Below are 12,030 nucleotides of genomic sequence, written 5' to 3'. Positions count from 1 at the left end.
AGCCACACTATTTGCTGCTCTTGCACTTCCAAGACCTGAAGCTAGAGCTGGTGCTCAGAGAAGAGCTGCCCCATGGTAGCAAGTGTCTGTCACTGGCTCTTTCTGGGGCAGAGGGAAGCTCCTGAAACCCTGCCCTCCCCACCTCCTCCACCAAGGGTCCCCCTGCTCAGCACTTTCTGCATGGCTTCCTGGTGGCTGTCTTCCAAGGCCTGCTTTCTGCCCCAGGACCTTACAAAGGCTGCTTTGATGAAAAGTTTGAGGCAAAGTGACTGTGTCATTTGATACAAGAGGCTCAAGGGGGTAAAAAGTGTAGCTTTCTTCTATTTTTGGATTTTCTAGCCCAGCGGAGAATGATCAGCTGAATGGGACTGGGGCGGAAGCCAGGAGCAGAGGGAGGAAATGCACCCAAGCTGGAGAGCCCCTGTGATTAGCAGCTGGAAGCCTAGAGCGTGACCTGCTTGTGAAGAGGCGCCTCTGCAGGCAGACTCTGCGCCCAGAGCTGGAAGGCATGCAGGGGCCACTTGCCCTGGGGCCACCAGACTCCTTCCTCCAATGGCCTGCTCCAACGGTCCCTGCCCCTGCAAAATGCACAGAGCCTGCTCCCTCCCTCCCTCCTGTTGATGGAGTACAGGCCAAGGATAGTCACTCTCTGGGTGAGATTTGAGAGGCACCACAAAAGCCCCTTAACCCTGGGGTCTCCGTCATCCACCGCCAGGGCAGTGGCACAGGGCCCTGCTCTCAGTGGGGGCTCTCCACATGGCTTAATGCTCTGCTGTCACCGTCGTGGAATTCATGATGGGACACTGCATTGTCCTCTTGCACTGGGCCCACAAATTCAGGAGCCGGACCTCCCCACCTCTCCCAGTTCTTGAAATTCAGGTTAGCAGTCACTTCCCTTCCCTGCTCTGGCTGATACCTCTCATCTGTGTAGCTTCTTATTCACCACCAGCCTCCACCTTGTTATCTCACTAATTGTCACTATAACCCTGTGAGGGACTGACATCTCTCTGACTCGTGGCCCTTTGTAGGATTTGCCCCACGAGCTCAGGCCTTTTGATGCCACCCCTTTGCTCTCTTTGAGGAACAAAAATGCCTACCTCCTGAAGCTATCTGTAATCCCCTCCTACTTAAGTGTAAGAAATTTGCAAGTCCGAAACCCATCCTCCACTTCACTCTTAAGAGCCTAAAAAGCCCTCTGAGGGCGCTTAATAAATACTAACTAATGAACCTGCAGCTGCTGCTCCTTTGGCTAATTAAATCTAAGTAAATCACAGACTTTGAATTATGCAACAAGGCTTGGCCAAAACAGCTTAAAAATGTGGGAGCCCTAGCTTTTCTGCTGTGCCCTGTGGAAAAATCCCATCTTTTAATCATGCTTAACCTTCCTGAAGAACAGCAGCAACCTTTAAATAATGAATGAACGTATATTAGCAAGATTTCCCCAAAGCTACACGTGGGAGTCAGATCAAAAAAGGGACAGAAGCAGACACAGGCCTGAGGGCATTCTGGAACTTTCTGCTCAGCCCTGGCCTGCAGGGTGAAATCATTTGGTTCCCCAGAAGCCCAGAGCATGAACTGGTGAAAGGGAGGAGGGGCAGATATGCTGCCACAGGCTCAGCTTCCTGATGTGGCACAGTAAGCTCCTGCCACCCCTAGCCTGCGGCAGAGGTTAATGGAAACCCCATAGCACTTCTGAAGGGCTGTGCACTCGGTTGTTCTCCCTCTCATTCCCCCTAGAAGACCCTCCTGGCCAAGAGCATTGTCTTCATAAAGAGAACAGATTTTGTTTTTTTTTTTTTTTTCTGGTAGGGTCTTGCTCTGTCCCCCAGGCTGGAGTGCAGTGGCACGATCACAGCTCACTGCAGCCTCAACCTCCCAGGCTCAAGTGATCCTCCCTTGTTAGCCTTCCCAGTAGCTGGGACAGCAGGTGCATGCCACCGTACCTGGCTTTTTTTTTTTTGGAGATATGGGATCTCCCTATGTTGCCTTGCCTAGTCTTGAGCTCTTGGGCTCCTGCCTCGGCCTCCCAAATGGCCGAGATTACAGACGTGAGCCACCGCGCTAGCCCAGGACAGACCAGGACAGATTGCATTGAGTCTCATCACCTATAACAGGCTTCCCAGACTTTAAGATGCATATGAATTGCTGGGGGCTGGTGGGTACTGTCAAACCACATCTGCTTCAGTGGGTCTGGGGCAGGGTCTGGGATGCTGCATTTCTAAGACGCCGATGCTGCTGATCCACAGATCACACATTGAAGAGCAAGGATTTAGGTCTTTCAACCCTGATTGCTTATTAGAATCAACTGGGGCACTTGTAAGGCTAACAAATCATCTCTGGATGTCATCTCAGATCAATTAAATCAGAATTTCTCGAACAATCTCTAGACTTTGGTCCTTCTTTTTTCTGAGTTAGAGTCTAGATAATTTAGAGGTCGCCCAAATGAAGCCTAGAAAACTTAACTGACTTGCTTACTTACAAGTCATCTGCTAACTTGGGACTAGAAATAGACATGGCAGGAAAGTGGCCTTTGGAATCAAGGCTTAACCCTCCTGCCCCCGAGTCTCTCCAACTGTAGTCCTGTCCTTGGGCTCAGGAGGGCAGCCTACAATATTCCATTTAGGGAACAGGAGAGATTTTCCCATCTTTCTCTCCCTAAGCCTGCCTGAAACTTTACTATTAGTGCTTCATTATTTGGGCTGAAGCTTAGTGGTCCTTTGCAATGAGTGCAATCTCTTATACATAGACTTTAGCAGCTTGGTGTCCATAGGATGATCACAGTCCCCTGACTGTCTCTGGGCTCTGCTCTGTGGGATCTGGGATCAGGAAGGGAAGGGGCTCTGGAGTCCAACTTGCCTCCCCTTGCAGCTCTGCTGAGGGCACCCAGCACAGAGAGGAGTGCCCTTCCCAGTCTGCTGCCCTGATTGTGTCAGGTCATGGGCTTCAGGCAGAGGTCAGGAGGATGAAGGCAGAGTGGCTCCAGGCGTGTGGCCAGGGAAAACCATGACCTCCCTGCTGTGGTATGCAGTACTCTTCCTTAAAGCAGAGTGCAGCAGTGGCCCGGCCCAGATTGGCTACGGCTGTGCTCCATCTGATGGTTTCAACCCCATCAAGGCTTTCTGGCTCAGCAGCTCAGGAAGGGAGTGGGAGCTGGGCCTAAGGAATTAGGGATGATACACCAGTTATTTGCTTAATTCAGTATCTCCCCCCTCCACTCATACTATCAGAATTCTAATTCTGTTTGAGGCTGCAACAGTGTCCACGCAAAAACCTTACCACCTCAGACACCCTACAGATAGGTGCAGCCACATGACCTTAGTTTGACCAATGGCACGGAAGCAGAAGTCTCTGGGTGGGGCTTCCTGGGATGCTTTTAAAAGGCGGCTCCTTTTCTGACCTGGAGTAACGGACCTGGTACTTGGAGCTGCTTCAGCCAACTTGACACTGAGGCGGGAAGCCATGGGCTGAGGATAAGAGCCCTGTGGTGGTGGAGGAAGGCACCACCTGAGTCCTCTATGACTTCTGAGAGCAGTTTCACCAGCCGTGGATGGACTACCTGGGACTTCTTGGTATGTGAGCAACACAAACCTCTATTTGGTGAAGCCATTGTGGCTGGATTTCTTTTACAGCTGAAAGTAATCCTCAAACGCAGGACCTCAGAAAGTTTTTGGTCTGGAAACGGGAAGGTCCAGGCAAAAAAGCGGCCCCCAGGAATTAAAGGAGGAGGAAGGCTTTTATTTATCTGTTTTGAATTACTATTCCACTCTATAATCTTTAGTGTATTGCCTATTTCCCAAGGGATTAAGTTTATATTCCTCAGACCAATATTCAAGGCTCCCTAACACTTAGCCCCAAACCAATTTTCCAGGCCTGTTACCTTGTACACCATTCCCTGGAGCAAGAGTGACCCTTCCCTCCTGGATACACGTTACACACTCCCACCCTAATCTTCATTTGTGTGAGGTATCCCTCCTGATTTCCACCTGTTCGGGCTTACCTAGCCTTATGAGCTCGTCTTTTAAGAAGACTTCCTCTATCACCCAGGGCTCCAGGGAGCTCTTCTATGATCTCGTTTATAGCTGAGGTCTGTGTACTGATAGCTGCTTTACATTTTCATGTGTGTTAAACTCATCTCCCCAGCAAGGTTGTGAGATCCTCCCAAGGTAGGATCTTGGGAGCAGGGTAACATGGAAAGAACATGTGCTCTGGGATGATCTCAGTTAAGTCTAACGTCTCTGAACCTCGGTATCCCTGGCTGTGAAGTGGAGATGATATACATTTCTACCTGCAGGGTTTTGGTGAAGATAGCCTCCTTAGGGACTTAGGGCGCATGGTATGTTAGCATTGGTGCTGAAGAGGCGCTTGTACATTGGCTTGTTACCTGGCTGGTAACTGCTTAGCTGGGCCTTTTTCCTATCCTTTGCCTCCCTCTCTCTTCTGATTTTCTGCTTTGCATTTGAATCAGAAGATCTGTTCTAAGTTTAGGGAGTGACCATGAGTAGTTCTCATTTTCCTAGAGGGCAGATCTGAGGCTAGTGGCTTCAGTATTCAAACACAATAGGGAAGAGTAGATTTCATGCCTGTGGCTAAACATGTGGGATGAGATGCTCACTTAACCGTTCAGGGGAGTTTACTTTCTCTGAAGATTAAGAAAAATGAATGTATTTAAGTCTAGTTTTACCTGGCAACAGATGGATGGATTAAATGACCTTACGCACTTGGGTGTTTTGGTTTGTGTGTGTGTGTGTGTGTGTTTTATAAATGCCCAGTTCTGTCTGCTCTAAGAAGGTAAACAGGTGGACCTTAAACTTTTTGCTATCCTTATCTCCATCTCTCTCACCTCAACCCCATGGGGCAGAAACCCAGATCAAATAAAATGATCAGAAGAAGTGACCCATACCACAACGGCCCTTCCTTGAAAGTTTAATGAGAAATGATACTTTTATCACTTCCAAATTAAGTACCTGTCACATGCAGCTATCAATGGGATTGGATATATGGAGTTGGGTGGGAAATGAGAAGTCACCATGGACTTACATGGCATGATAATGTGTACTGACATTGAAGTCCCAAGGCAGTCATTTTTTTCACGTGATTTTACTGAGAGTCGCTCGAGAGCCCAATGAGACAGAAACTTATTCTCTTGTCACTCTTAAGGCAGAGCCCTATGCCAGAGGAGAGAAGGGGTCAGTAAAGACTTGATTAATTGCACAGCTGTGTCCAGCCTCATTCAGTTTGCCACATTATCACTAAAGTGTCCTGTGGCACAGCCAGCCATCGTGGCTGGGCTGCTGGGCTCAGAGTAGCCGACAGTCTGCAAGGAGTGTGTGTATTGAAGGGCTGAGGGGCTGGTGACTGGGGGAGTTGAACCCCTTTGTTGCATACTTGCAGGGCAGCTTCACTTTGTGCCTGACCGTGAGCCTTCTGGTGTTCAAAGTCTGTTCCTTTGGGTTGTTGTGTGTTTATTTGAGGGGCTGTAAACCTCTCTACTGTGGACAACTGTATACTTGTTTTGTATCTCTGTGTCAGTGTATTTGTTTCTGGGTTAGCCTTTCTGCATTTTTGTGAGTCTGTGTGCTTGGGTTAGTAGGTGGGTACGGGGTGGGGGTGTGTGTCAACTTTTTTTTTTTCCATGTCCAGCTTTCTAATAGAGTAGAATTAATGACGTCCTCTGGGTCTAATCAGGCACTTAATTCCTCCTTCCTTATGTCCCCTAGGAGTATGCCCTTATTTTGCCACATGCCTCACCCAGGGGATACACAGCTTAGTGATAGGGGTACCCCTTGTCCACCAGGTTCAGCTAGGCCTGTGCCAGGCTCGCTGGAGCTTCACTGCCTCTCCTTTTTGACCATATGCTGTCTGAAGGCCAGCTGTGTACAAGTCTCCTCAGGCCCAGTGCTAAATGAGTCCTGGCCAGTGGCCTGGTGATGGTATCCTGCCATGTTGGCAAGCTGGAGGGAGCTTGGGCATCTTGGCTTCAGGAGCCTAACATGGGGTGGCAGGGCTGGGCTCCCTCCGGAGGCTCTAGCAGAGAATCCTTCTGTTGCCTTTTCTGGTTTCTAGAGGCTTCCCATGTTCCCTGACCCGCAGTCCCACGTCATTCTGGCCCCTGCTTCCATGGTCACATCTCCTTTCTGACTCGCACCCTCCTGCCTCCCTTTTACAAGGGCCCTTGTGACTACCGCGGGCCTACCTGGATAATCTGGGATCATTTCCCCACTGCAAGGTCCTTAAACACAATCACATCTCAGCCTCTTTTGCCATATAAAGTATTCATGATCCTGGGGATTAGGACATGGACATCTTTGCAGAAGATGGGGGCGGGGGCTGCTCCCAAGCAAATCACAGGCTTCCCACCCCTCAGAGGTCTATGAACATGAGTAGATGTGGTGAAACCCAAGCCAGCTTGGTCATGATGTACTTCTATGGTTCTGGAAAGGTGTTCTAAACCCACCTTCCCTGCAGATATCTCCCTGACCTGCTAACATCTGAAATCGTCCTCTTGGGATAAGGCATCATGTCCACAGTGAGAACTCAGTTTCTGTATAAGGGGCATGAACGTGTTTCTTCACTCTCAGGTGTAAATGACTGACAGCAGGGCCCTTCCTAAGAGTGGATTCTGATTGGACAGAGGCACAAAGTGAAAAAAGGAGGTGCCTGGGAGGCTGGGATCATGCACGGATAACACTCTAGCATGGCAGGGGCGAGGGTTCCCAGTGAGGGAGAGAGCAAAGGCACTTGGAAGTATGACCAGAAAGTTTTAATCAAACAGAGCAAAATGGCTGCAATGCAGAATAGGTAGTGCTTGGCGAAGAGAAAGAAGACCATCTCCTTGGTGACATAGATGATGTGAATGAAGATGAAGCAGTACAGGAACATGGCAAACTGGTTCTGGGGCAGCAGGAAGTTCTGGAGGCCTCCTGAAAACTGTGGGGGAGAGAAGACAGTGGAGATGATGATGCCATTGTTGGCGCCAGGCAGATCTAGGTTCAGTCCTGCTCTGACCCTGCCTGTATGTGACCTCAAGTCATCATCTTCACCTAAAGAAAGGGTAATAGTGCCCATTTCCAAAATCATGAGGGCTGGGCAAGGTGGCTCATACCTATAATCCCAGTACTTGGGGAGGCCAAGGTGGGAGGATTGCTTGAAGCCAGGAGTTTGAGACCAGCCTGGGCAATGTAGTGAGACCCCTATCTCTATAAAAAAAAATTTAAAAATTAGCCAAATCTGGTGGCGTGTGCCTATAGTCCCATCTATTGGGAGGCTGAGGTGGAAGGATCACTTGAGCCCAAGAGTTCGGGGTTATGGTGAGCTATGCTCATGCCACTAACTTCAGCCTGGGTGAGACAGCAAGATCCTGTTTCTTAAAAAAATAAAACAAAACAAAAGATCACAAGGAGGAAAAGTGAGATAATGAACATTCCTAGTCAGGTAACTAGCACATAGAAGGAACTCATCATTTTTTACTTTTTGAGCTGCTCTTATCCCTCCTGACTGGGGCGCCAGGCCACCACCTTCCTTTCTCTTTATGGTCTGTACGGCCCATTGGAGCCACACACGTGGGTCTTCTCCCTCTGACTCCAAGAGCCCCACATGTGGATGTTGGGTCTTGGGAGTGTTCTCTCACAGTGCCCTGACATTCAACCTAGTTTCCTGGACAGTGGCCCAATGACATGGTGTCCCTTGCATATAAATGACTGTTTCTCACTCCCTGGGTCCTGACACATATCACGTGGGTCAGCCCATGGTCCTTCAGTCCAGGGTTTGGTGTCTCTTGGAGGCAGGTGCTGAGAGATAGGTGATGGGGTCTCCCTAAACCCTCAGAGTATTTGGGCTGGGGGAAAGCAGCTTGAGTTGTCTGGCTAATTCTGTCTGTGGGTTGCTCTTTTCTTGAATCTATATAACTGGGGCCCAACAGTCTTCATTTTAACTGTAGAAAGTATCAATGTATAAGTAAGGCAAAAGCTGATATTATTTTGATCCATAGTTAAGAGGGCATAACCCATGCATTATTTTTTAAAATATTTGTAAAAATCATGGCATATTTTTGGAAAGCACCAGGTGGCAGGGACCGAGATGCCCTAAACTAGCTAGAAACACACTCAAAGAGGTATTTTCAATTCAATACACTCTCTCTGTCCGTCCATCTATTCACCCTCCCAGAAAAAGAGAAGAGAGGAAGGTACAACATCAAGTCAACTCCCCAATTTTTAGTAAATGCACAAAAAGTAAGCACTTTTGTAAACTATCACCAAAGGCTGGAGGATGGGGACACATCACTGTTGAAACAGCTGCATAAAATGTGAGGGCAACTAGACCAAACTGAGGGGACAGAAAATGACCTGATGATGCTGCCTCTAAAATGAATAGCTAGGAAGGTTGGAGACCAGAGGAAGCAATCCAGTGTTCTAATGGGAGTGGAGGACGGGGCTGACCCGACGGTTCTCTGCAGGCTCAGTATGGCTCTGGACCCCTGGACTTTGCCACCTGTCTGCAGTCTGCACGTGTTTCAGTCTGAAATGCTGATGAGTGATCATTATGACTTTCATTAAAAAAGAAAGTGCTTGTGAAACCCTTTAGACTTTTCAAAATACTTTCAATGTTCTAATTCTTGAGCAGAAGAGAGAAATAGAGAGAGGACTATATACCAAAGATTTCCATCTCATCCAGCAAGGAGAAAGATTTTCAAACTGAAAAGGGGGTAAAATAAATATGGTTAGGAGGAGACACAGGCCAAAGGCATAGTTACAATATCATATCTGCTTTAAATAGTTTCAGGTTCCACTTTGTGACAGATTTTATCCCAGGCTACTGAGAAAAGTCACAAGTTTGCAAATGGAACTTAGAATTCAAAAATATTAGGAAGTGTGCTAAAGTCTAAGCAATAGGCAAATGTTTTCTAGACTTTTCAAAAAGGGTGTGGGGGCAGGGGAAGATTCTGGAAATCCAAGTTCAGTAAGCTTGACTGAGTTCAGTGAAATCATTTCATGTTTATAATGAAGCAGGTATTTTGTGAACAGAAAAAAAGATAATTGTTTAAGAAGCCAGCACGTGCTCATTGAGAACAAATGATGCAAAACCAACCTTACTTTCTTAAAAAAACAGAAACAAAACTGGACCAGTCAATTGGGGAAATGCTATAGGTAATGTAATATCTTAATTTTGGGAAACCATTTGACAGTGCGTCTCCGTTTTTTGGATAAGGTGGAGAAATGTGAGCAGGATAAAATGTAACTCAAGGGTGATGATTAATGGAACATTGCCAACCTATACAGAGACATTTAGTGGTATTTACTTTAGGTCATTTCCTCCTCAACAATTACAGCAATGATTTGGATAAAGGCAGAAGGCATGGTTCTCAGAACTGAGGATGACTCAGAGCTGGGAAGCACAGCTAATACATCATATCCCAATAAAACTGAAAAGTGATAAATGTATGTTGTTGCATTTGGGTCAAGAAGTGAATTGCATGAGTACATAAAAATGGTAGTAGCTAACGTTTATTGAGTGCTTACCTAATGTGCTGGGCTAATTGCAAAGTGCTTTGCGTGTGTTCTCTCATTGATTCCTGACAACAACCCTGTGAGGTAGGTACTACTTCATGGATGAGCAAGCCAAAGCTCAAAGGAAATTAGTAATTTGCCCAATGTCAGGGAGTTTATAACTGGCATTTTAATCCAGGACTTTCTGACTTTAAAGTGCAGGAAACACTGCTTTAAACAACATCTTCCACTATTGAATGCTTATGATAGCCTAGCCACTGTGCTAAGCTCTTCACATCCCATTTAATCTCAAGTAGGCATTCTTATCCCCCATTTAATACAGATTAGGGAACAGTGGTGTACTTCTTGTGAAAAGATGGCTGTTTCAGTTGACTAGAAGGCAGTATGATCCAACAGAATAAACATAGCCCTGATCGGGGAGGTGATGGTTCTATCAAAATCCACTGGCCAGGGTGCAGTGGGGATTCTGGGTCTAGTCTCCAGGCATCAAATTTTAAGAGATGCAGAGAGGACTTGTGAGCGGTGGAAGAGGGAGGAAATGTTGAAGACTTTTCCTTGAAGCTACCAAAAAGGCTGTCGGGTGGGCGATGTGGTTCTGGGGACCCTCCCGGCCTCAGCTCTCCTTAGAGAGTCACATCTCAGCTTCCCGTGGAAGCTCTGTTTAACAGAGCTGGCCAGGTAGGGTAGCGAGCTTTAAGGCAGTGAGCAGACATCTCTGGAAGTGAGCCAAGGCGGAGAGGGCTGGAGACCGCCCGAGTGGATGCTCAGCCCCTTTCAGCCGAGATCCAGGATCTGCAGGGTGGGGTGCCGCGCAAAGCAGGGAAGGTGGGCGCCTGCTCCAGGCCCCATGGGACTTCAGCTCCAGGCCTCCCTCCTCCCAGTGCCCCGTTCCTTGTCACCCACCAGGCGGGGCGCCGCCTCTTGCTGCAGCTGCTCCATCACCACCTCGTGCTGCCGCTCCCGCTGCAGCTGCTCCATCACCACCTCGTGCTGCCGCTGCCGCTGGTTCTTCTCATGCAGGTACTTGAGCCGCGTGAGCTCGAACTCCATGCGCACCTTCTCCAGCTCCATCTCGGGATTGCGCTCAGTCCCAGGGGTCGGGGGCAGCTCTGCGGGTTTGGGTCCGTCGCCAGCCTGGCCTTTGGTAGCACGGCAGGACTTGGGGGACAGCGATTTAAGCGGCCCTTGGCAGCCTCCGTCCTCACAAGCTTCCATCTCTTCCAAGTAGTCATAGGAGGAGTCTGGCTTCTGGGACTCTGCCTCCTGGCGTAGGGGAAGCAGGGAGGGGAGGTACCTTGAAGAGTCAGGATGGGGCTGCCCCTGACCCCATGGAACTCCCGCAGCCCCAGGCCGCAGTGGACTGGGGTGTTTGAATTGTAAAGATCTAGGCTGAATTCTTATTAGAAGTGCTCTTACCGGGAGTTGTCAGGACCTGCGGGTCAAGGAGAGGGCAAACTAGCACAAAGTAATAGTGCCCTAAAGTTGCAAGTGGAGGCACTGGGAGTTGAGTAGATTGATGTCCATTTTTCTAGTGATTTTTCTGATCACCAAAGAGGCAACTTCCGGGCCCATCCTCAACTCTACCTGACTTTGAGGTCAGTTAGATGCCAGGTCTTCAGGAAGTTACAGAGGGAGAAAGAAACCCAGGGTCTGAATTGAGAGAACCTAAATATTTGGGGACCAGGAAGAGGGCTATGGTGGGGAGCCAGGTCCTATCCACCCAGCAAGGAAAGGACCCCAAGTGGGGAGGTAGATAGAGGAGACCAAACCCAGCTTCATATGACTTCACAATCTTATGGAGGGCTACCTGGTCCCTGGTGACAGCTGGTGCCAGTTACAGGGCTGGGGTACATGTCACCTGATGTTCTTGGCAGTTGTCTGGAAGCTCAAAGCATGTGTTCCTACAGTATTCTTGCTCCCCCTGACGGAATAGGCGGGGGTGGTGAGACACAGCAGCCCCCTTACCAGATAAGCCCTTGGCTTCCCTTCAGACTTGGAGTCACCAGGCACCATCTTGGGGAAGGTCGGGCAACTTTCTCCCGCACCCCGGGCTTCCATCATCTCCCTGTCCTCTGCTGCCATCCAGAAAACCAGAACGCTGCCAGGTGGGGTCACAAGACATCATTTGAGGTGCTGACATTTGGCCTCACCAGATTCCACAGCCTGGCCACCATCACAATCCCCTGTCGTCATCATAGCCTACATTCTACAAGTTGCTAGGGCCCCTTTGGTGGAGGGTGTGACACCTTTGAGGTAGTAACATGCTAACATTAAGAACTGCAGGATGGGCCTTTGCTGCCCATAAGGATGGCTTTGAAAACTAGAGTTCCAACTCATGCAACTCAGAATTCCACCATTTGAAATCCATTTCCTTGGGTTCCTTTTTTAAATGAAGATTGTGTTGGAAATGAGTCACAGCTCCACAAACCCTGTTATGGGCTAAACCAGGTCCCCCTCTCTTCCCAAAATTCATATGTTGAAGTATTAACTCCCAGCCCCCAGTACCTCAGAATGTGACCTTATTTGG

General features: G+C 48.6%; 1 protein-coding gene across 1 annotated transcript, besides 7 other annotated features; it reads right to left on the bottom strand.

Annotated features, from left to right (window-relative positions):
- Positions 67–599: an enhancer, noted in NCBI's record as "H3K4me1 hESC enhancer chr2:46717711-46718243 (GRCh37/hg19 assembly coordinates)". NCBI's record gives its function as "activates a minimal SCP1, AML or CMV promoter by ChIP-STARR-seq in naive H9 embryonic stem cells {active_cell/tissue: H9 hESC(naive)}" and the evidence as "EXISTENCE:reporter gene assay evidence [ECO:0000049][PMID:30033119]".
- Positions 67–1,132: a biological region, named in NCBI's record as "H3K4me1 hESC enhancers GRCh37_chr2:46717178-46717710 and GRCh37_chr2:46717711-46718243".
- Positions 218–267: an enhancer, noted in NCBI's record as "active region_15707". NCBI's record gives its function as "activates an Ori minimal core promoter by ATAC-STARR-seq in GM12878 lymphoblastoid cells {active_cell/tissue: GM12878}" and the evidence as "EXISTENCE:reporter gene assay evidence [ECO:0000049][PMID:35858748]".
- Positions 378–437: an enhancer, noted in NCBI's record as "active region_15706". NCBI's record gives its function as "activates an Ori minimal core promoter by ATAC-STARR-seq in GM12878 lymphoblastoid cells {active_cell/tissue: GM12878}" and the evidence as "EXISTENCE:reporter gene assay evidence [ECO:0000049][PMID:35858748]".
- Positions 458–757: an enhancer, noted in NCBI's record as "active region_15705". NCBI's record gives its function as "activates an Ori minimal core promoter by ATAC-STARR-seq in GM12878 lymphoblastoid cells {active_cell/tissue: GM12878}" and the evidence as "EXISTENCE:reporter gene assay evidence [ECO:0000049][PMID:35858748]".
- Positions 600–1,132: an enhancer, noted in NCBI's record as "H3K4me1 hESC enhancer chr2:46717178-46717710 (GRCh37/hg19 assembly coordinates)". NCBI's record gives its function as "activates a minimal SCP1, AML or CMV promoter by ChIP-STARR-seq in naive H9 embryonic stem cells {active_cell/tissue: H9 hESC(naive)}" and the evidence as "EXISTENCE:reporter gene assay evidence [ECO:0000049][PMID:30033119]".
- TMEM247 (transmembrane protein 247) lies at positions 6,746–11,606 on the bottom strand. The gene is given in 3 exon segments (NM_001424184.1): positions 6,746–6,927; positions 10,407–10,766; positions 11,469–11,606. Coding segments are annotated over 3 exon segments (659 nt in total). The 5' UTR covers positions 11,586–11,606.
- Positions 8,408–8,457: an enhancer, noted in NCBI's record as "active region_15704". NCBI's record gives its function as "activates an Ori minimal core promoter by ATAC-STARR-seq in GM12878 lymphoblastoid cells {active_cell/tissue: GM12878}" and the evidence as "EXISTENCE:reporter gene assay evidence [ECO:0000049][PMID:35858748]".
- Positions 11,607–12,030: the final 424 nt, after the last annotated feature.

The sequence above is a fragment of the Homo sapiens genome, chromosome 2 (genome assembly GCF_000001405.40).
Source record: "Homo sapiens chromosome 2, GRCh38.p14 Primary Assembly".
NCBI classification, from domain to species: Eukaryota; Metazoa; Chordata; class Mammalia; order Primates; family Hominidae; genus Homo; species Homo sapiens.
This window is presented reverse-complemented; position numbering and strand designations above follow the sequence as displayed.